The sequence below is a fragment of the Homo sapiens genome, chromosome 14 (genome assembly GCF_000001405.40).
Source record: "Homo sapiens chromosome 14, GRCh38.p14 Primary Assembly".
Lineage (NCBI taxonomy): Eukaryota > Metazoa > Chordata > Mammalia > Primates > Hominidae > Homo > Homo sapiens.
Window position 1 is genome coordinate 80,861,636 of NC_000014.9, and position 23,428 is coordinate 80,885,063.

General features: G+C 36.6%; 1 protein-coding gene across 15 annotated transcripts in view; it reads right to left on the reverse strand.

The window, feature by feature from the left end:
• The window catches only part of CEP128 (centrosomal protein 128), a 482,534-nt gene that overhangs the window by 384,667 nt on the left and 74,439 nt on the right, over positions 1–23,428 (reverse strand). For all 15 annotated transcript variants that reach the window (NR_157142.2, XM_047431023.1, XM_011536493.3 and 12 more), the window contains one exon: positions 1,122–1,238. Coding sequence is in view for 14 of the 15 variants with exons in the window: in XM_047431023.1 (XP_047286979.1) it covers positions 1,122–1,238 (117 nt within the window). In the remaining variant the exon portion in view is untranslated. The remainder of the gene's footprint in view (positions 1–1,121; positions 1,239–23,428) is intronic.

Below are 23,428 nucleotides of genomic sequence, written 5' to 3' on the forward strand. Positions count from 1 at the left end.
GTTCCAGATTAAAGGAAACTAAAGAGACATGACAACTAAATGCTATGTGTGAACCTATATTTTATCCTGGATCAGGAAAGGACACTACTGTAGTAGCAAAATTTGAATAAAACGTATAGATTAAGCCATAGTATTTTACTGATTTTAATTTCCTAATTTTGATTGTTATACTGTAACTATAAAAGAAAACATACATATCAAATTATATAGATGAAAAATGATTTATTTTTTAATCAGTTGACTTTAAGATTCACAGATAAGTATGTATATCATGTCTGCAAATTAAAAATGTTTCACAAAAAATTACATATATGTGGATGTATCTAGAATAAATGATGAAGCAAGTCTGGTAAAATATGAATAATAAGGGAATCTAGGTAAATGTTATACAGAAATTCTTCATTCTAAATTTTCAACTTTATCTATGTCTGCAATTTCAAATTAAAAAGAGTACCTTAAGGGTAACTATTCTCCATTTTAAATTGGTTTGATAATAACCTAATTCAGGAGTTGTCAGACTTTTTCTGTAAAGGGCCAAACTGCCAATACTTTAAACTCCATGGGCCATATATACTTGTGGGCTACAACTACTCAACTCTGCCATTGTGTCACACAAGCACCCACAGACAATCTATCAATGAATAGGAGTGGTTGTGCTCCAATAAAACTACTTACAAAAATAGACAATGGGCCAGCTTTGACCTGTGAGCCACAGTTTGATGACCCCTGGTCTAGTCTATGCCCAGAAAAATTAATCAGAATAATTATACTTTCAGTTAACATTTTCCGAGCATATGACAAACAGTATGTTAAGAGCTGTATTGGCATTAATTCATTTATCCTTGCACTAATCTAATTAGGTCAATACTATTATTATTTCCATTTTCCACAGACAAAACTAGCGCCTAGAGAAGTTAAGAAACTTGCCCAACTAATGTCACATGGACAGCAAGTATGAAACCAGGGAGGTCTGATTCTATACACTGAACTATAACCAATATGTGATATTAATACTTCTCAGATGGGTTGAATTATACTGTCACATGCAATAACCATTTTAACATGGCTAAATAAACATCCAAATTCAAGATTTACATTCCATGAAAGTGTTTTTCACAAACCTCCTGTAGCTGCAGGGACATGAGTCCCAGTTGATCCTGGCGTCTTTCCACCAGCTCCCTTTCTGTGCGCATCTCTCTCTCCAGTTCCTGAAGCCGCCGCTCCACCCGATCTGAAACCTTAATAAGAATTCAGAGAAACAGCAGCATTATAGAGCTAGCAAGCAAAACAGACTAAATTGAGAAGATAGTTTTATAGCAGATACACTACTGCTTAAAGCATTTAAGATTGTTTTGTTTGCAAAGCCCCTTCTAATGACGCTAACATGAAATAGCTGGCCAAAAAGCTTACTGAAAGTTACAAAAGAAAGTCATCACTGATCTCCAAATAATCGACACCTGGATCCCAATAAATGCCTCAAATTTTTTGAGGTATGATATAATAATTCAGTAGATCAGAGTTAAAAGTAATACACTAGAAAAGAGTGCCCTCTGGTGAGTTAGAATGAAAATACCAATTTTGCTAAAAATTGCATTTGTTAGCCAATTAATGATAAATTGTTCGACCTAATTAGTCCTTTTCTATTTTTATTATCCATGAGCATGACCTGCCTATGAAGGTATTGATGTTTATTTGTAGTAAATAATTAAGAGGGCTTTACATTAGCTTATCAATCTTTTCTACTGCAATCTGCTAAAAATAAAACAAGCTATAAAAGATCAAAAACTAAAGTCAAACTGAAAATGTTTAATCAGGACTCTAAACGTGAAAGAAAGTCAAACTGAAAATGTTTAATCAGGACTCTAAACGTGAAAGAATTTTTCTCTCTGACACAAAATTCTCCTTACTAAAAGTTGCATAAATTCAAACATATCTCATGTATTTCATTATACAGCCCACTAAATAAAATTTACACTATTGACAATGTCTATATTTGGTACATAAGGACACAGAAGACATTTGTATTCATATAAGAGAAGCAATAAACACAGCTGTTATAAGAAATCTTTTGTCACCAATTATTTATATGACAAAGAATCAAGAAAAGTCCTGACAAGGAACCTTATTGGGGTCGTGTAAATGTTCTAAAGTGAATTAGGGAGGTAGCTGGATAACTCAGTAAATGTATGGAAAAAAAAAGTTATTGAATTGTACACTTAAAGCATTAATTTTATGGTGCATTATAGCTCAATCAAGTTTTAAAAAAATAAATAAACATAAGTTTACTTAGGCAGAGCAGAAGTTTAGTTTACTCTTGAACAACAGGGATTTTAACTGCAAAGGTCTACTTATAAGTGGATTTTCTTCTGCCACTACCACTGCTGAGATAGCAAGACCAATTCTTCCTCAGCCTACTCAACTTGAAGGCGGAAGACCTTTATGATGATCAACTTCCACTTAATGAATGGTAAATGTATTTTCTCTTCCTTATAATTTTCTTAATAACTGTTTCCTTTAGCTTACTTTATTATAAGAATACAATATATAATACATATACAAAATATGTGTTAATTGACTATGTTATTGTCAAGGCTTCCTGTCAACAGTAGGCTATTAGTAGTGAAGTTCTGGGGGAGTCCAAATTTATACTGTATCCCCAGACTCTGCCTTCAAATAGCTTGCTATCTATTGAAGACTGACAATGAATGAGTAGTTAAAATTTCTCTGATTAAATTCAATAAGTTGAATGACTTCTATATTTCAGAAAAGAAGGCTGCTCTTATTAGAATCCTATCAAAATTAAAGCAGTCCAAGTAACCACATACTGAAATCAATATCCAAAATTATTTAGACATCAGCAACTTTGTCACCATAGCTAATACATATGATGATACAGAGTTACTATACTTGGAAGATTGTTTCTCAATTTTTTTTTTTTTTTGAGACAGTCTCACTCTGTCACCCAGGCTGGAGTGCAGTGGCATGATCTCGGCTCACTGCAACCTCTGCCTACTGAGTTCAAGTGATTCTCCCGCCTCAGTCTCCCTAGTACCAGGGATTACAGGCACCTGCCACCACGCCTGGCTAATTTTTGTATTTTTAGGAGAGATGTTGTTTCACCATGTCGGCCAGGATGGTCTTGAATTCCTGACCTCAAGTGATCCACCCACCTTGGCCTCCCAAAATGCTGGGATTACAGGCGTGAGCCACCATGCCCAGCCTTTGATTTCTTCTAAGTAAAAGTTTTTTTGAAACATAATTTCATGTATTAATATACATATACATTGTGAAATAACTAGTCAAGCCAATCAACATATCTATCACTTTACTTAGCTAACATTATTTTTGCCAATACTGTAGTCACCATTTTGTACATTAGCTCTCTAGAACTTATTCATCCTACATAAGGGAAACTTTGTACTACATATCCCCATTTTCCTGACCCCTCCCAACCCTGCCCTGCCCCTAGCAACCACCATTCCACTCTCTGCTTCTACGAACTAGACTTTTTGGAGTCCACATTTAAGTAAGATAATGCAGTATTTATATTTTTGTATCTGCCTTACTTCATTTAGCATAATGTCTTTCAGGTTCATCCATTTGTTGCTGCAAATGACAGGATTTCCTTCTTTTTAAAAATTGAACAATATTCCATTGGGTGTATATACGTGTGTATGTGTATTTCTTTATCTGTTCTTTGGTCAATAGATACTTAAATTGTTTCCATATCTTGACTATTGTGAATAATGCTGCAATGAACATGGGGTGTATAGATGTCTCTTCAAGACACTGATTTCCTTTGGATATGTATCCAGAAGTGGGACTGCTGGATTATTTGGTAGTTTTATTCTTAATTTTGATATTAACATTTCTCTTACACAACTTCTGACATAGGTCCCAATGATCCATGCTTCTTGGTATTCATGCACTTGTGTAATCCTCTACCCTTGAGTGTAGGCTAGCCCTAGGGACTTTCTTCTAATAAAGAGGACACTGCAGAAGTGATGGGATGTCACTTCCATTATTAGATTGCAAAAAACTGACTTCCAATTTGCTAGCATCTTCCCTCTTGCCAGTCATCTTCTTGTCTGCTTGTTCTAATAAAGCAGGCTGCCATGTTATGAGATGCTCTACGGAGACGCCACATGTCAAAGAAACAAAAGAAGCCTTTTAACAGGTCATGACAAACTGAAGTCTCAAATCCAGTAACCTACAGGGAACTGAATCCTGACAATGGCTTGTCATTCCAGTCAAGCCTTGAGAAAAATGCAGCCTGCAAGTGACCCAGAGCCAAAGGACCCAGCAAAGCCACACCTGTCTCTCAACCCACTGAAACTGCCAAATGAAATGCTGTTTTAAGCCAGCAAGTTAGGGGAAATATGTTACATTAAATGCTAATTGTACATACCCAGACACCATGACCATCCCTATGGACCCAGTATACAGGTCAGCCCCCACAGATGCAGGCACCAGGCCCACCTCCAGGAACTCAGGTTCCAGGTGCACCTCAGTACTAGACTGGCCCCTGTAAGCACAGGCTCTGGGCCTTCCCCCGTGGGCCCAGGTACCAGGCCCATCCCAACACCAGGCAGACCCCAACAGACTTAGGCTCTAGTCTCACCACAGTGCCAGACCAGCTCCTATGGGCATAAGCTCCAAGCCTATCCCTAAGAACCCAGGCACTAGGGACACCCCTGCAGACCCAATCAACTTGCCCCACACCAGTAGACCCTCGTGCCAGGCCAGCCCCAGAGGAGCCAGGATCCAGGTCCCCCACAGAAGACCCAAAGTCAATGTCTGCCCCAGTGAATACAGGCTCCAGGCTCAAACTCATAAACCCAGACAACAGGCTAGCCTCTGGGACCCAGATACCAGCTCAGGCCATCTGCTGACCCAGTCACAAGGCCAGCTCCCAAAAAGATACCAGCAGCAAAGCTCATTAATGAGCCCTGCTAGAGAGCCTACCAAAAATCTCTGCATAGACTCATTAAGTAAAGGGAGTCCCCTGCCAAAGCCAGTCTATAAAGTCTGGAAGAAGTGCCTGCTTCTTCAAATGCACAGAAACTAAGGCCATAAGGATCATAAATGATCAGGGAAACATGGTATCACTAAGAGAACAAAATAAAGCACCAGCAAGCAATCCCAAAGAAATGGAGATCTTCAAACTGCCTAACAAAGAATACAAAATAATCATCTTAAATAAGTTCAGTGAGCTACAAGAGAATACAGTAGTCCCATTTTACTCATGCAGGATACACTGCACAATCCCCAGCAGATGCCTGAAACCGAGGATAGTATCAAACCCTATATATACCATGAACAATTTTTCCCTTCATAATTTCACAGACAGTAAATTTGTTCATATCACAGAAATTAAAAATCTCAGTATATATTTTTTTTCTTTCCTTACTAAGTTGAGAGTTTCACATTTTCAATTAGAAGAAACACTTTATGGCTTCTCTTTGGCATTGCCAAACTGTCAACCTCACTACTCTGCACTTTGAAGCCATTATTTAGTAAAATAAGGGTTACTTGAACAAAAGCACTATCAGGTTACTGAGACAGTGAACCTGATAACTGACATGACTGCTAAGCAACTAATGGGTGAGTTGTGTCTATGGCATGGATATAATGAATAAAGGGATGATTCATGTGCCAAGAGGGATGAAGTGAGACTACTGAAGATTTCATTGCTCTACTCAGAATGGCATGCAATTTAAATCTTATGAATTGTTTATTAATGGAATTTTTCATTTACTATTTTTATATTGCAATTGACCACACGAAGCTGAAACCATAGAGAGCAAAACTATGGGAAAGGACAAGCTTCTGTACAGACAACAAAATCAGAAAATTGTTGCATGAACAAAATTAGAAATTCAGCAGAGATAGAAACCATCAAAAAGAACAAAACAGAAATTCTTAATCTAAACAACACAATGACTGAACTGAATAATTCCAGAGCAATCTTGAAGCAAACTAGATCATGAGCTCAAAGACAGGTCATTTGAAATTGCCCACTCAGAGAAACAAAAAAAACAAGAAAGAAAAAGAATTAAGAGAGGCTATGGAATTTATGAGATACTATCAAGTAAAGAAATTTACTCATAATGGAAGTCCCAGAAGGAGCAAAGAAAGAGAAGGAGATGAGAGGAGTTTACTTAAAGAAATAATAGCAGAAAATTTCCTATATCTGGAAAAAGAACACCCAGATCCTTGAAGATCAAATAACTACAAATAGATTAAATATAAAGAGATCTTACTGAAACGCACAATAATCAAATTCTCAAAAGGCAAAAACAAAGAGAAAATGCCGAAAGCAGCATGAGAGAAACAACTCATCACATACAAGGGAACCCTTATGAGACTATCAGTGAATTTCTCAGCAGAAACCAGGAGAGAATGAGATGATAAATTCAAAGTCCTGGCAGGGGGTGGGGGGAGACAGGTGCTGCCAACCAAGAATATCATAACCATTAATTTGCCTTACAAGAAATATAAAAGGGAGTTCTTCAAGACAAAATGAAAGAATGCTAATAACATAAAAGCATATGAAAGCATAAAATTCACTGTAAAAGTATGAATATACTCAAATTATAATACTCTAATACTTATAATGGTAGTGTTTAAGTTACTTTTAACTCTAGTTTAAAAGACAAAAGTATTAAGAATATAGCTGCTATAATTTTAATGGATACACAATATTTAAAGAGGTAAACTGTAACATCAATAATGTAAAATGGGAGGGGAAGTTAAGTGTAGACTCTGTATGCAGTCAAAGTTAAGTTGTCATCAGCTTAAAATAGATTGTTACAAGACATTTTATGTAAATACCATGGTAACCACAAAGAAAAAAACTTGTGCATATTTAAAAGACAGAGAAAGCAGTCAAAGCATACCACTACAGAAAATTATCAAATCACAAAGGAAGACAGAGAGAAAAAAATAAATGAAGAAACTATAAAACATTCAGAAAACAATTAAGAAAACGGCAGTAGCAAGTTCCTACCTATAAATAAATGTTTTAAATGTAAACAAATTAAATTCTCCAGTCAAAAGACATAGAGTAGCTACTTAGACTTTTTCTAATGACCCAACTGTATGCTGCCTAAAGAGACTCATAAATAGACTTTAGAGATACAAATAGACCAAAAAATGAAGGGATGGAAAAAGGTATTCTACACAAATGGAAACTAGAAGAAAACAGAGGTAGCTATACTTACATCAGAGAAAATACACTATAAGTCAAAAAATGTAAAAAGAAACAAGCTCATTAAATAATTATAAAGGAGTCAATTCATCAAGAGGATATAATTGTAAATGTATACGCACCTAATCAGAGCACCTAAATATATAAAGCAAATCTTAATAGATCTGAAGAAAAAGATTAAACAGAAATACAATAGTAGTTTTGTGGACAATGGACATATCATCCAGACGGAAAGTCTATAGAGAAACATTAGACTTGATCTACACTTTAGAACAAGTGGACCTAACAAACATATACAGAACATTCCATCAAACAGCAGCAGAATACACATTCTTCTCAAGCATGCACAGAACATTCTCCAGGATAGATCATGTTAGGCCACAAAACAAGTCTTAACATATTTAAGAAAATAAGTGTCCCTTTAGATCACAGTGGTATAAAACTAGATATAAATGAATAGGAAAATTCACTAATATGTGGAAATTAAACTACACAATTCTGAACAATCAATGGGTCAAATAAAAAATTTAAAAGAAAATGAAAAAATTCCTTGATACAAATGTGAACAGAAATACAATACACCAAAACTTATGGGATGCAAAAAAGCAGTTCTAAGAGGGAGTTTTATGGCAATAAATGCCTACATTTAGAAAAAGATCTCAAATAAATAACCTAACTATACCTCAAGAAACTAAAAAACAAAATTAAACTAAACTAAGCCACTGTCAATAGAAGAAAGGAAATCACAAAGATTGCAGCAAAAATAAATGAAATAGACTAGAAAAACAATAGAAAAGATCCATGAAACTAACAGTTGTTTGGGTAAACTTTTATTTTAGGTTCAGGGGTACATGGGCAGGTTTGTTACATAGGTAAACTTGTGTCACAGAGGTTTGTTGTACAGATTATTTCTTCACCCAGGTATTAAGCCTAGTACCCAGGAGTTATTTTTTTCTGCTTAAAGTTAGTTTTTTGAAAAGATAAAGAAAACTGACAAAATGCTAGCTAGACTGAATAAGGAAAAAAAGAGTAATGACTCAAGTCAATAAAATCAAAAGTAAAAGAGGAGACATTACAAATGATACCACAAAAATACAAAGTCTTATAAGAAAATACTATGAACAATTTTATGCCAACAAATTGGATAACCTAGGAGAAATGGGTAAATTCCTAAAAACCTACAACTTACCAAGACTGAGTCACAAAGAAACAGAAAATCCAAACAAACCAATAATGAGTAAGGTGATTGAATCAGTAATCAAAGACCTCCCAACAAAGAAAAGCCCAGAACCTGATTACTTCACAGGTAAAATCTACCAAACATGTAAAGAAAAGCTAATGCCAATCCTTCTCAAGCTCTTCCAAAAAACTGAAGATAAGAGAACATGTCCAACCTCATCCTATGAGGCCAGCAGTACCATGAGACCAAAGACACTACTAAAAAAGATAATTACAAGCCAATATCCCCGATGAACACAGATGTAAAAATCCTCTGCAAAATACTAGCAAACCAAATTCAGTAGCACATTAAAAGAATCATTACACCAATCATTACACCATGATCACTTAGTATTTATCCCCAGAATACAAAGCTGCAAATCAATAAGTGTAACATACCATATTAACAGAATAAAGAATAAAAATCATATGGTCTTCTCCATAGATGCAGAAAAAGCATTTAATATAATTCAACATCCTTTCATGATAAAAAGAGAAACTTCCAATAAATTAGACATAGAATGAGTTTATTTTAGCATAATAAAGGCCATATACAACAAGCCAACAGCTAACATAGTACTCAACAGTAAAAATCTAAAAGCTTTTTCCCTAAGATCAGAAAAAGCCACGGATGCCCAGTATGAACACTTCCATTCAACGTAGTACTGAAGGTCCTGGCCAAAGCAAGTATGCAAGAAAAAGAAATAAAAGGCATCTAGATGAGGAAGGAAGAAGTCAAATTGTCCCTGTTTTCAGATGACATGATCTTATATACAGAAAGCCCTAAAGAGGCCCCTAAAAAAAACTGTTAGAAGTAATAAACAAATTCAGTAAAGTTGCAGAAATCAAAATTAAACATACAAGAATCAGCAGCATTTCTATACATAACAACTCAAAAAAAAAAAGTCCTGTTCACTATAGCACCCAAAAAATACGAAGAAATAAATTTACCTAAGGTGATGAAAGATTTGTACTCTGAAAATAAAAAAAATTAAAGAAAGAGGAAGTCAGCAATGTAAAATCTTGGTAAAAGAAAATAGCCAGTGGAAAAAAAAATCAAGATATACAGAGAAAGCCACATAACGTAGGCACTATAGACCATGGTAAAGAATTTGGAACGAAAGAAACCCAGGTAGGATTTTTAAACCTGGAGGAATAATTAAACATAATGACAATTTAAAAAAATAATTTGCCTGCAGTGAGAAGCACAGATAAAGGCAGGTATGGGAGCAGAGGGACCAACTTCATTGGATGCCACTGCAGTAAACCCACTGAGAAGAGATGGTAGCTTGAAAAGTAGTATTAGAAGTAGATGGAATTGAGCAAGATTTCAGAAATTAAAGGGACAGGATTTTGTAATGGATTGGAAGTATGGTGTAAAGAAATGGATCTAGATGAATCCTTGGTGACCAGCTTAACGTGCTGGATGGAATATGATGCCATTTCCTGAGACAGTGAAGACCAAAGTAAGTAAAAACAACCCTAAATGAAGGTTGTGGACCTTAACCTAAAGACATATATTTATAGCTTTTGAGTGATGACATAATTCCTAATAATAAGAATTATTTTAAAGAAAGTATATTTTAGAACTTCTTTATTTTTTCTTTCTCTGAGACCTAAGGGAAAAATATTAGAAATGTAATCCAATACTAAAAAATTCATATTTACCAGAATACCATTATCAACTAAGTTTAAGACTAGAATACCAAAAATTCCTAAATCTCCATATTTGGTTATAAAAATAGCAAAATAACAAGAATAAAAATTAGAATGGCTTTTAAGATTAGTATTTAATGAAAGGTCAAACAAAAGAAAAAGCATTCTGTTTAAAAGATGGTATTCTCGCTTTTCAATATGTTGATTCCTCAGATCTTTAACAATACCTGGTGCTTCAAAGTCCACTTAAATAAATATGTTATATATCCTGCTGCTGTGATCTATGCAATAATCCTGTTATTCTAAATGCAGTATTGACAGAATTCTTATAAACTCTATTAATGGTCAACCCTTCCAGAAACAGCTGGATCCATGTTTACATTTTTATTTTTAATAGTGATCCTCCTATAGAAAACTAAAATAGAATTGACTTTTTCCTCCAAAAATAATCAAATAACATGCAGTCATATCACACTCAGCTCAATAAAATCTAGACAACTAATAAACTGAAATTTCCCATATGGTATAAGGCCTATGCAATATTGATTGCGTATCACCACAATTAAGTGTTAATAGAAAATATTTTCCATGACATCATACTATAAACAATAACTCTTCCCTTCCAATGGACAATTTGACATTAGCAAAAAATATTTATGATTCACAAAAGATTAACACATCAAATACTGACATATATGACAGCAACCACAACTTTTTGTCTCTCAAAGAAAAATGTGTTCCATAAGCTTTCAAGATATATTTTAGTCACTGAGAAAATGCATGATAAACAACTGTAGCCTCAGAATAATACACAATAAACGTGATTAAGAGGGCTTACCAGTAGAAAGTGAAATTGGCAAGAAATAGGGGCAGCATTTATTTTCACTTTATGTATGTACAATATTTAAGTTTGCCACAGTGAAGGTGCATCATTTTGGTAATTTTATTTTAAACTTAAATCTGAAGCAGGGGAAACAGCTGCAGTCTCTGAGAAGCTTAACACTCAAATAATGAAACCATCTTCTCTGACAGCAGGTTATGAATTCACAAATACAACACAATACATCGACCAGTTATAAAACATAAATGTTGACTTCAATTGGAATGAGTCACAAAGTCTATATTAAGCCCTGGAAACAAACATCATGTGGCCTTCAGAAGACCTTCTTAATTCCAACAATGTTATTATTAAGTTTCACTTTGGACATTTTTTTCTTAATCAGGACTATACACACCCATAAGAAATTTGAGATGCCCTTCGTGCAATTATGAGACAATCTTACTTTGACAGCAAATTACACAAAGCACAAAACAAGGTGTAACATCACAACTTGATGTAAGGAACTGGCACATGAACAATTCAACTGAGTGTACAATTATGTGGGCACAATTTTCTGGGTTTAGACAATATAAAAGGCTGTGTCCTCATGAGCTGGGCAGAGGGGATAGCTGGGTAAACTAGCATGTTTTATACAGCAATTACACCAATGAGCTGGGCACCAGTGAGGAGTGACATCCAGTTGCACTTTATGTGATATGGAGTCATTCTTGATGCATGGCAATAATTATGTGAAAGAGTTTGAGCTCTCTCTGAATTCAGCTAACTGCTAACTTTTTACTCAGTGGCTACATTTTAAATACAAAGTAAAACTGTAGACTATATATAGATAATACTTACTAGTTTTATTTGCTATGTGAAAGAAATCCAAATAAAATGATAACTGTTTATTATGGGTTCTCTTGTCACGTGGTGAAAGGTGAAACAATAAATGTAATGTGCACTATGCAAATTGGTACTATTAAACCCCAAATTGAAACCATCCTAACTATCTAATAGTTTCAAAAAACAGCATGACAGTACAGCTGGATATGACCATGGCTCACTCAGCTTTACAGGGACCTCAGTAGAATATTAAGGATATCTGAATTTAGATCAAATCCTGTTTAGAAGTAATATAATTTGGTGGTGTCCCCACCCAGATCTCATCTTGAATTGTAACTCCCACAATTCCCACGTGTCATGGGAGAAACCCAGTGGCAGGTGATTGAATTATGGGGGCGGGTCTTTCCTGCACTATTCCCGTGATATTTTTAACATCACGAATATTTTAAATAAAATATTTTAAATAAAATAAGAATATTTTAAATAAAATTGTTTTAGAAACGGGAGTTTCCCTGCACAAGCTCTCTCTTTTTGCCTGCTGTCATCCATGTAAGACCTGGCTTTCTCCTCCTTGCCTTTCGTCATGATTGTGAGGCCTCCCCAGCCATGTGGAACTGTAAGTCCATTAAACCTCTTTCTTTTGTAAATTGCCCAGTTCGTATGTCTTTATCAGCAGCATAAAAATAAACTAATACAACAAGCATGTTCACAAGATGTATATCTATATAGCAAGTGAAAGAAGCCTCAGGCAACAGTTGAAAAACTTAGTCAAATCTTGTGCATTAGAAAACGTACCCTGGGTGCAGTGGGGTGGCTCACACCTGTAATCCCAGCACTTTGGGAGGCTGAGGCAGGCTGACCATCTGAGGTCAGGAGTTTGAGACCAGCCTGGCCAACATCGCGAAACCCTGTCTCTATTAAAAATACAAAAATTAGCCAAGTGTCATGGTGTACAACTGTAATCCCAGTTACTCAGGAGGCTGACGCAGGAGAATCACTTGAATCCAGGAGGTGGAGGTTGCAGCGAGCTGAGATCACACCACTGCACCCCAGCCTGGGTGACAGAGTGAGACTCTGTCTCTGTCTCCAAAAAAAAAAAGAAAGAAAGGAAAGAGCAAACATAGTAATGACATCGGATATATAAAAAAGATTAAAGGAGTTTCACTTCCAGAAATAACAGACTAGATAATTCAGTTGAAAGTAACTAGAAAGCTAGAAAGAATATTTTAAATATAGTTTGTTTGTTTGTTTCTGAGACGGAGTCTCGCTCTGTCGCCCAGGCTGGAGTGCAGTGGCGCCATCTTGGCTCACTGCAAGCTCCACCTCCCGGGTTCACGCCATTCTCCCACCTCAGCCTCCTGAGTAGCTGGGACTACAGGCGCCCACCGCCATGCCTGGCTAATTTTTTTGTATTTTTAGTAGAGACGGGGTTTCACTGTGTTAGCCAGGATGGTCTCGATCTCCTGACCTCGTGATCCGCCCGCCTCAGCCTCCCAAAGTGCTGGGATTACAGGCGTGAGCCACCGCGCCTGGCCAAATATAACTGTTTTTTAAAACACTGGGAAGTTAAAAAGTAATAAGGAAATATAAGAATAACATGCAGAAGAAAGAAAACCGGAGAGAATGGTCTATCCTTTAGAACGACTTTTTCCCCTGAAATATCAGCTCATTTCAGAAAAGGCAGCTGAGACACTGAGAAGCTGAACAAAGTTTTTAGCAGATTCTTAAAGTTAAATGAGAAAAAGTGTTGAGCTGAGAGACTTGCAAGTAATGGGTCCCTGATTAATCACTCTCTTAGCCTTTGGACTGGAATCCTGAAGGGCTATACGCAAGTAGTAAGGGTGAACCAGAAATACTTAAGACCCAGTACCAAAGTTTATTAAGTATCTCAACAACAAGTAATAAGATAATCCAAGATTGCTACTGACCCTAGTCTATAACAAAAAATAAATGTCTATATTCTCATACGTAATAATGTCCTAAGCCTCAAATTATCTATTCAAATTTTGTTGGCAGAAAATAAAATACGCTTTCTGTCATCAAACAAAAATAACTAAAGAATCAAAACTAAACAGTAGGACAAAACAATGTGATCAAAGTCCAAGAAAAGCAAAGGATAATAGACAATCGAAACAGACACATTGAAGATCTAGATAATGAAGCTATGAGACACAGATAAACAGATTGATGATTTTGGAAAACAATTACAAAGTTAAAAACAATCAAATGAAAATTCTAGTACTGAAACTTGCAATGACTTAAAATGAAAATCAGTGAGTGGGTTTAATAGGCTTGCCTCAGTTGAAGAGAGATTAAGTTACTAAATAAAAAGAAATAAAAATTTCCTTTCTAAAGGAAATTCTAGATGGGATACTTTCAGGTATATGCACACTCGCCCTAAAGGGAATTTTAAAATATGTTCTTAAGGTAGATGTGCAATCTGAAAAATGCAGGAAGGACTGAAGAACAAAAGACAGTAAATCTAAGGGTAAACCTAAATAAACCATTATTGCATAAAATAATAGTAATGTCTTCTAAGGCTCAATTAAATACAAAATTAAATAACAAAATAGCATAAAAGTGAAAAGCGGGGTTTATGGAGTTGAGGTGCTATATAGAAGAAAATATTCAAAAGAAAGAAAGAAGAAAGAATTAAAACTGACAGAAATGAGCATAAGAGACAAAGGGGATGAAGTCAAAAGTTCAAGATTATATGAAATCTGAAGTCCTAAAAGAAGAGACAAAGAATAAAAGTAATTTTTGAAGAGGTAATGGTACTATAAGCAGCAAGCAACAAGTCAAAACACACACACACACATGCACACACAACTAAGCTTATCACAGTAAAACTATAAATAAAAACAAAGACAAAGAAGAAAAACCCAAAAGCAATTAGAGAAAAAAATCTATTACACCTTAAAAAAAAAGCATCAGGCCGGGCGCAGTGGCTCATGCCTGTAATCCCAGCACTTTGGGAGGCCAAGGAGGGTGGATCACAAGGTCAGGAGATCGAGACCATCCTGGCTAACATGATGAAACCCCATCTCTACTAAAAATACAAAAAATTAGCTGGACATGGTGGCACACGCCTGTAGTCCCAGCTACTTGGGAGGCTGAGGCAAGAGAATCGCGTGAAACTGGGAGGCAAAGGTTGCAGTGAGTCGAGATCGTGCCACTGCACTCCAGCCTGGGTGTCAGAGCAAGACTCCCATTTCAAAAAAAAAAAAAAGCATCAATAAGACTAGTGTCTGATTTCTCAATAGAAGCAATAAAACCCCCAAATGATTAAATTTCTTTAAAATACAGAATAGAGGGAAAATGGCCCATCTAGAATTTTATATCCAGTGAAAATTTTTCAACATAGAAAGTGAAAGAAATTTTCAGACACATACAGAGAAGATTTTTCACCAAAGCACACGCTCTAAAGGAAATTCTAGACGGGATACTTTCAGGCATATGCACACTCACCCTAAAGGAAATCTTAAAATATGTTCTTAAGGTAGATGTGCAATCTGAAAAATGCAGAAAGGACTGAAGAACAAAAAACAGTAAATCTAAGGGTAAACCTAAATAAACCTTTATTGCATAAAATAATAGTCATGCCTTCTAAGGCTCAATTAAATACAAAATTAAATAACAAAATAGCATAAAAGTGAAAAGCGGGGTTTATGGAGTTGAGGTGCTATAAGATCTTTGCATTTTCTGGAAAGAGCTAAAAGAATTAATTTATATTAGTTTTGATATTTTAAAGACATATGTTGTAATCCCTAGGTTAACAAAGGAATAAAAAGATATAATTAGAAAGCTAATAGACGTGGAATACAGAAAAATGAAAACTAATAAAAACGAAAAAAAACACACACAAAAAATGGAAATATAGTAAGTGGGTCCAAGAGAAAGCAAATAGTAAGATGGTAGATTTAAATAAATGAAATCAACATTTACATTAAATGTAATACAGCAAATCCTCCAAATCAAAACAGTGTTACACTGACCTTTAAAAAAATATTTAATGATACTCTATAAAATAGCATGAAAGATATCAAATTCAAGAAATAAGTTGTAAAAAAAATGTATAAGATATAAAACTTCTTTGAGTGACATCAGCAAGCTGGCCAACTAAAAGCTCCTAGCACTTTTCTCCACCACAAGAAAAGGCACACACACAAAAAACACATTTTGAACCAAAATAACTACAGGAGAGCAATGAGAACAGCAAGGTAGCCACAGAAATTCTATAGGGCACAAAAAGCCAGAATGGCTGCACAGGGAAGGAAAGGAATCACCTTGCCTCCACCATCTCATCCCCCCAGTTGGGGTCAGCCCTACCCACCTAGGGACAAGCTACTTCAGTCACTGCATATCCCCATCTCAGTCACTGCTATATCCTCCCCTTAAGACCAAGCTGAAGGGATGCCCCACTCCCAGGAACCCAGAGCCTTGAAGTGCTAGAACAGTCTCACAACAGTTGCCACAGACAAGACAATACCCACCCCCCACCGCAGGTACCTCAGGCCTCTGGCCTACTGGAGAATTTATGCCTCTGGAGCCAGAGCAGATGTGGCACCCTACCACCTGGGTACCTCAGACCTCCTACATACCAGAGAAGTGGCACCCCGCATGGCACAGCCGAGGTAGTGCTCTGTCACACAGGGACCTCTGGCCTCCTACACACCAGAGAAGTCTCCTTCAACACCATGCCATTGGTGAGGCAGCAGCCCCTCCCCCAGCAGGGACCCTGGTCCTCCAGCATATTAGAGCAGCTGCACCTTCCAGCACACAGGTGACATGACACCATATACCCAGGAATCCAGAGGCTCTACTGACTCACGTAGCTGCACTTTTAGCAGTGCCTCACATCCCAGGGAATAAGAGCCATGGCTGAGCTGTGCCACTCCACCCTCCATGCCCAAGAACCAGAAAACACCCCATCTACCTGAAACTAGATTAGCCCTCTACTGTCTAAGCTACTCAGGCACCTCACCTCTTCAAGGAATGGAGTCATCTCTGTGCTTCTCTCCACCACTTGAGATCCAAGCCACAGTGGTATATTACCATTCCTCAGTCCTTGCTGCTGTTGCACCTGGCCTCTTAAAACTTAGGTTACTACCATATCCCACCATCTTAGAGTACAGAGTCACCACTGCATGGTTCCTCATAACCTGGAGTCCAGCCTTCTACTGTGCCCTGTTGGTTCTAGGTCCCAAATTGCAGTTGTGCCCAACCCCAGGGCCTGAGCCTCTGGAGCACCCCTTCCTCGTTGGAGCCATACAAGTGTGGTGCCTGCTCCCATGGGTAAGAACCACAGCTGCTTCCCAACCCCCTGGGCCTGAGCTACCAGGTTGTCCCTTAGAGCAACAAACCTTAGCTTACTGGAAGAACTGCATCCACTCATGCCTTGGAGAGTGATTCTGTGCCTCAAGTCCCAGGTGCTACAAGTTTCAGAAGACAATGTGTGCAAGAGTCTGACCTCACGACCACTCTGAGCATCTGTGTTGTGGATCCCAGTGCCACTGTAGCTGCCTGTGAACCACGTCAGATCCAACTTCAAGAGAGATCCTCTCAGCTAAGAATCCCCACTCTAAGGAAGACAAAAACAGGAGAATCCCTAAAATCCTTGCTCTAATAACCTACACAGTCACTGTCACTACCACAAATTCCTTCAGCCTAGACCACTGAGGCTCTGCAGGTATCACTAACATTGATCACAACTGAAAAAACTTCACAGAGACTACAACACTGCACTAACAAAGAAGCAGAGCCACCACACTCTGCCATGCCAGGACCCTCAGGCCCATCTGCAGCTAAATGTTTTCCCTTATAAAAGCCACTCTGTGAAGTTTGGAAGGAGTGACCGTACCACCAGATAGGCAGAAATTAACACAGGGACACACAAAAAAATGATAAAGCAAGGAAATATGACACCACCAAAGGACCACAATAATTATATAGTAATTGATCCCAAAGAAACAAAAATTTATAAATTGCCCCAAAGGAATTTCAAAATAATACTCTAAAAACTCCAATGAGATGCAAGAAAATACAAATAGACAATTCAGTAAAAACAGGAAAACAACTCATGATCTGAATGAGAAATTCAGCAAAGAGATACATGTTATTAAAAAAAGAACCAATCATAAATCTTGGAGCTGAAGAATTCAATCAATGAGACAAGAATAAAATTGAGAGCTGCAACAGCAGACTAGATCAAACAGAAGAGACAGTTTGTGAATTTGAAGATGAGTATTTTGAAATGACTCAACCAGAGGGGAAAAAAGAACGAAAAAGAGTAAAGACTTATAAAAAACCATCAAGCAAACAAATGTTCACATTATGGGAATTTCATAAAGAGAAAAGACAAAGAAAACAATGTTTACTTAATGAAATAATTGCTGAAAACCCCCCAAGTCTTGGAAAAGATACAGATATCCAGATCTACGAAGCTCAAATGTTCCCAGATTCAACTCAAAGAGATCCTCTTCAAGTCATATTCTAATCACGCTGTCAAAAATCAAAGACAATTAAGAGTAGTAAGAATATCAAAATTTCTTACACTCTTCCAAAAAATGGAGCTAGAATAACTACATCAAAACACATTTTATGAAGGATTATCACTTTGAAACCTAAGCCAGATAAAGACATCACAAGAGAAGAAAGCTATGACAATCTTTCTGATGAACACTGATGGAAATCTTCAATAAAATATTTGCAAACCAAAGCCAACAACACATCAAAAAAATTATACAACATGACCAGATAAGATTTATTCCTGGCATGCAAGGCTGATTAAACATATGCAAATTGATGTCATACATCATATTAACAGGACAAAAGATAAAAACCACATTATAATCTCAACTGATAAGAAAAAAAAAAGCATTTATCGAAGTCCAACATACTTTCTTGATAAAAACTGTCAACAGTTTAGGCATATAAGGAAAGTTCCTCAACATAATAAAAGCCATTTATGAAAAGCCCATGGTGGACATTATAAAAATGAAGAAAAACTGAAAGCTTTTCCATTACAATCCAGAACAAGGCAAGGATGCCCCCTCCTTCTATTCAACATACTACTAAAAGTAACAGCAAGAACAATCAGACAAAAAAAGAAATAAAATGCATCCAATTTGAAAAGAAGTAAAGTTATCTCTATTTGCAGAGGAAATGGTCCTACACATCAAAAACCCCAAAGATTCCACACAAAAAAACTATTAAAAATAATAAGGTTCATTGGGAGGCCAAGGTGGGCGGATCACGAGGTCAGGAGATCAAGACCATCCTGGCTAACACAGTGAAACCCCCTCTCTACTAAAAAAAAAAAATACAAAAAATTAGCCGGGCATGGTGGTGGGCGCCTGTAGTCCCAGCTACTCGGGAGGCTGAGGCAGGAGAATGGCGTGAATCTCGGAGGTGGAGGTTGCAGTGAGTCAAGATCTCGCCACTGCACTCCAGCCTGGGCGACAGAGCAAGACTCCATCTCAAAAATAATAATAATAATAATAATAATAATAATAATAATAATAATAATTTCAGTAAAGGATACAAAATCAACACATAGAAATTACTACATTTTTATACACAATTATGTAACTGAAAAAGAAATCAGGAAAACAGTTCCATTTATGATAGCATTAAAAAAAAAACTGAAGCAAGAATAAACCAAACCCAAAATGAGTAGAAAAAATAATAAAGATCAGAGTAGAAATAAATGAAATTGAAATTAAGAAAATACAAAAGATCAATGAAATGAAAAGTTGGTTTTTTGAAAAGATAAATAAAATTGACAAACCTTTAGTCAAACTAAGAAAAAAATAGAGAAGATCCAAATAAATAAAATCAGAGGTGAAAATGGAGACATTACAACTGCTACTGCAGAAATTCAAAGGATCATTAGTGGCTACTATGAGTAACTATATGCCAATATATTGGAAAATCTAAAACACATCTAGAAGAAAACTCCTAGACAGACACAACCTACAAAGATTGAACCATGAGAAAATCCAAAAGCTAAACAGACCAATAACAAGTAAAGAGATAAAAGACGTAACATGTCTTCTAGCAAAGAAAACCCTGAAACCCAATGGCTTCATTATTGAATTCTAGCAAACATTTAAAGAACTAATACTTACCCTATTCAACCTATTCAAAAAAATAGAGTAAGAAGAGTAATAGAGTAATATTGGCCATTTTACAAGAGCAGTATTATCTTAATACCAAAACCAGATAAAGACACATCAAGAAAGGAAACTACAAGCCAATATCCTTGATGAATACTGATGCAAAAACCCTCAACAAAATACTAGCAAGATGAATTCAATAACACATTGAAAAAAGGTCATCAATACCAAGTGGGATTTAGCCCAGAAATGCAAGGATGGCTTAACACATGCAAATTAATCAATGAGATACATCATATAAACAGAATGCAGGACAAAACTATATAAAAACCTTCAAAAAACTGAGTAACCAAGGAATATACCTCAACATAAGAAAAGCCATATACAACAGACTCACAGCAACTATCATCCCAAATGAGGAAACACTGAAAGCCTTTCCTCTAAGATCTGGAACAAGACAAGAATGCCCACTTTCACCACCGTTACTCAACATAGCACTAGAAGTCCTAGCTAGAATAATAAGACAAGATAAAGAAAGGGCATCCAAACAAGCACAGGCAATCAGAGCAAAAATGAACAAACGGTATCACATCAAGTTAAAAAGCTTCTGTACAGCAAAGGAAACAATCAACAAAATGAAGAGACAACCCACAGAATGACAAAAAATATTCATCTGACAATAAATTAATAATCAGAATATATAAGAAGATCAAACAACTCTATCAGAAAAAAAAATCTCATAATCCAATTTAAAATGGGAAAAATAGCTCAATAGACATTTCTCAAAAGAAGGCATACAAATGGCAAGCAGGCATACAAAAAGGTCATCACTGATCATCAGAGAAATACAAATCAAAACTACAAGGAGATATCATCTTACCCCAGTTAAAATGATTTATATCCAAAAGACAGACAATAACAAATGCTGGTGAGGGTATGGAAAAAAAGAGAACCCTCCTACACTGTTCGTGGGAATGTAAATTAGTACAAGTACTATGGAGAATGGTATGAAGGGTCCTCAAAAAACTAAAAACAGAGCTACCACATGATCCAGCAATTCCACTGCTAGGTATAAACCCAAAACAAAGGTAATCAGTGTATCAGACATCTGCATTCCCATGTTTGTTGCAGCACTATTCACAATAGCCAAAATTTGGAAGTAATCTAAGTGTCCATCAACAGATGAATGGATAAAGAAAATGTACTTATACACAACGGAGTACTATTCAGCCATCAAAACAATGGGATTCTGTCATTTCCAACAACATGGATGGAACTGGAGGTCAAATTAGCCAACACAGAGAGGCAAACATCACATGTTCTCACTTATTTGTGGGATCTAAAAATAAAAACAATTGATCTCATGGAGATAAAGAGTACAAGGATGGTTACCAGAGGCTGAAAGGGTAGTGGGAGGATGGGTAAGAGGAAGGGAAGTTTAATGGGTATAAAAAAATACAGTGAATAAGACCTGGTGTTTGATAGCACAAAAAGGTGACTAAGGTCAATAAGAATTTAATTGTACATTTTAAAATAACTAAAAGAGTATAATTGGATTGTTTGTAACACTAAGGATAAACACTTGAGGTAATGGATACTCCATTTACTCTGATGTGATTATTACACATTGCATGCCTATATCAAAACATCTCATGTACCTGTAAGTATATACATGCCTACTACCTACCCGCAAAATTTTAAATAAAAAATTTTTTAAAATAAAATAGAATAAAGGCTGAATCTTTGAGAGTGGGAAAAAACAAAATAAAGGGCATCCAAATTGAAAAGGAAGAAGTCAAATTAATTATCTTTGTTTGCAGATGATATGATCATCTATTTGAAAAAAACCTAAAGACTCCATCAAAAAACTGCTAGAACTGATAAACTCAGTAAAGTTGCAGGATACAAAATCAACATACAAAACTCAGTAGCATTTCTATATGTCAACAGCAAACAAACTGGAAAATAAATCAAGAAGGTAATCCAATTTACAATAGCTAAAGATAAAAATTAAATACTTAGGAATTAACCAAAAAAGTGAAAGATCTCTACAGTGAAAACTATATAAGATTGATGCAAGGAATTAAAGAGAAACCATTAAAAAATGGAAAGATATTCTATGTTAATAGACTAGAAGAATCAATATTGTTAAAATGTCCATACTACCCAAAGCAATCTACAGATTCAATGCAATACCAATGACATTCTTCACTGAAATAGAAAAAAAATCCTAAAATTAATATTGAATTACAAAAGACCCATAATATTCAAAGCTATCCTGAGCAAAAAGAACAAAACTGGAGGAACCACATCACCTGACTTCAAATTATACTACACAGCTATAGTAACCAAAACAGCATAGAACTGGCATAGAAACAGAAACATAGACCAATGAAACAGAATACAAAACCCAGAAGCACATCCATACAATCACAGCAAACTCATTCTAGACCAAGTTGCAAAGAACTTGTATTGGGAAAAGGAACATCTCTTAAATGGTGCTGGGAAAACTGGATATTCATATGCAGAAGTATGAAACTAGATCCCTATCTCTTAACATATACAAAAATCAAATCACATAGATTAAAGACTTAAATCTAAGACCTCACACTATGAAACTATTACAAAGAAACACTGGGGACCAAACTCCCCAGGACATTGGAGTAAGCAAAGATTTCTTGAGTAATAATCCAAAAAGCACAGGCAGCCAAAGCAGAAACGGACAAATGGGATCACATCAAGTTAAAAAGCTTGCACACAGCGAAGTTAGCAATCATCAAAATGAAGAGACGACCCAGAAAATGACAGAAAATTTTGCAAACTATCAACCTGACAAGGGATTAATAACCATTATACAGAGAGCTGTCAAGATGGCTGAATAAGAACAGCTCCAGTCGGCAACTCCCAGAAAGGCCAACACAGAAGGTGGGAGAGTTCTTCATTTCCAACTGAGGTATCAAGTTCATCTCATTGGGACTGGCTAGACAGTGGGTGCAGCCCACAGTGGATGAGCAGAAGTAGGGTGGGGCATTGCCTCACCGGGGAAGTGCAAGGGACTGGCGAACTCCCTCCCCTAGCCAAGGGAAGCCGTGAGGGACTGTGCTGTGAGGGACTGTGCTATCCGGCCCAGACACTATGCTTTTCCCATGGTTTTTGCAGCCCACAGACCAGGAGATTCTCTTGTGTGCCTTCACCACCAGGGCCCTGGGTTTCAAGCACAAAACTGGGCAGCTGTTTGGGCAGACACCGAGCTAGCTGCTGGAGTTTTTCTTTTGTAGCCCAGTGGTGCCTGGAACCCCAGCGAGACAGAACTGTTCACTCCCTTAAAAGGGGGCTGAAGCCAGGGAGCCAAGTGGTCTCACTCAGCGGGTCCCACTCCCACAAAGCCCAGCAAGCTAAGAACCACTGGCTTGAAATTCTTGCTGCCAGCATAGCAGTCTGAAGTCGAACTTGGTGGTGGGAGGGGCATCGCCATTACTGAGGCTAGAGTAGGCAGTTTTCCCCTCATAGTGTTAACCTTGACTGTGAGTAACACCACAGCAAGGCAAAGTACCTGGGGCCAGA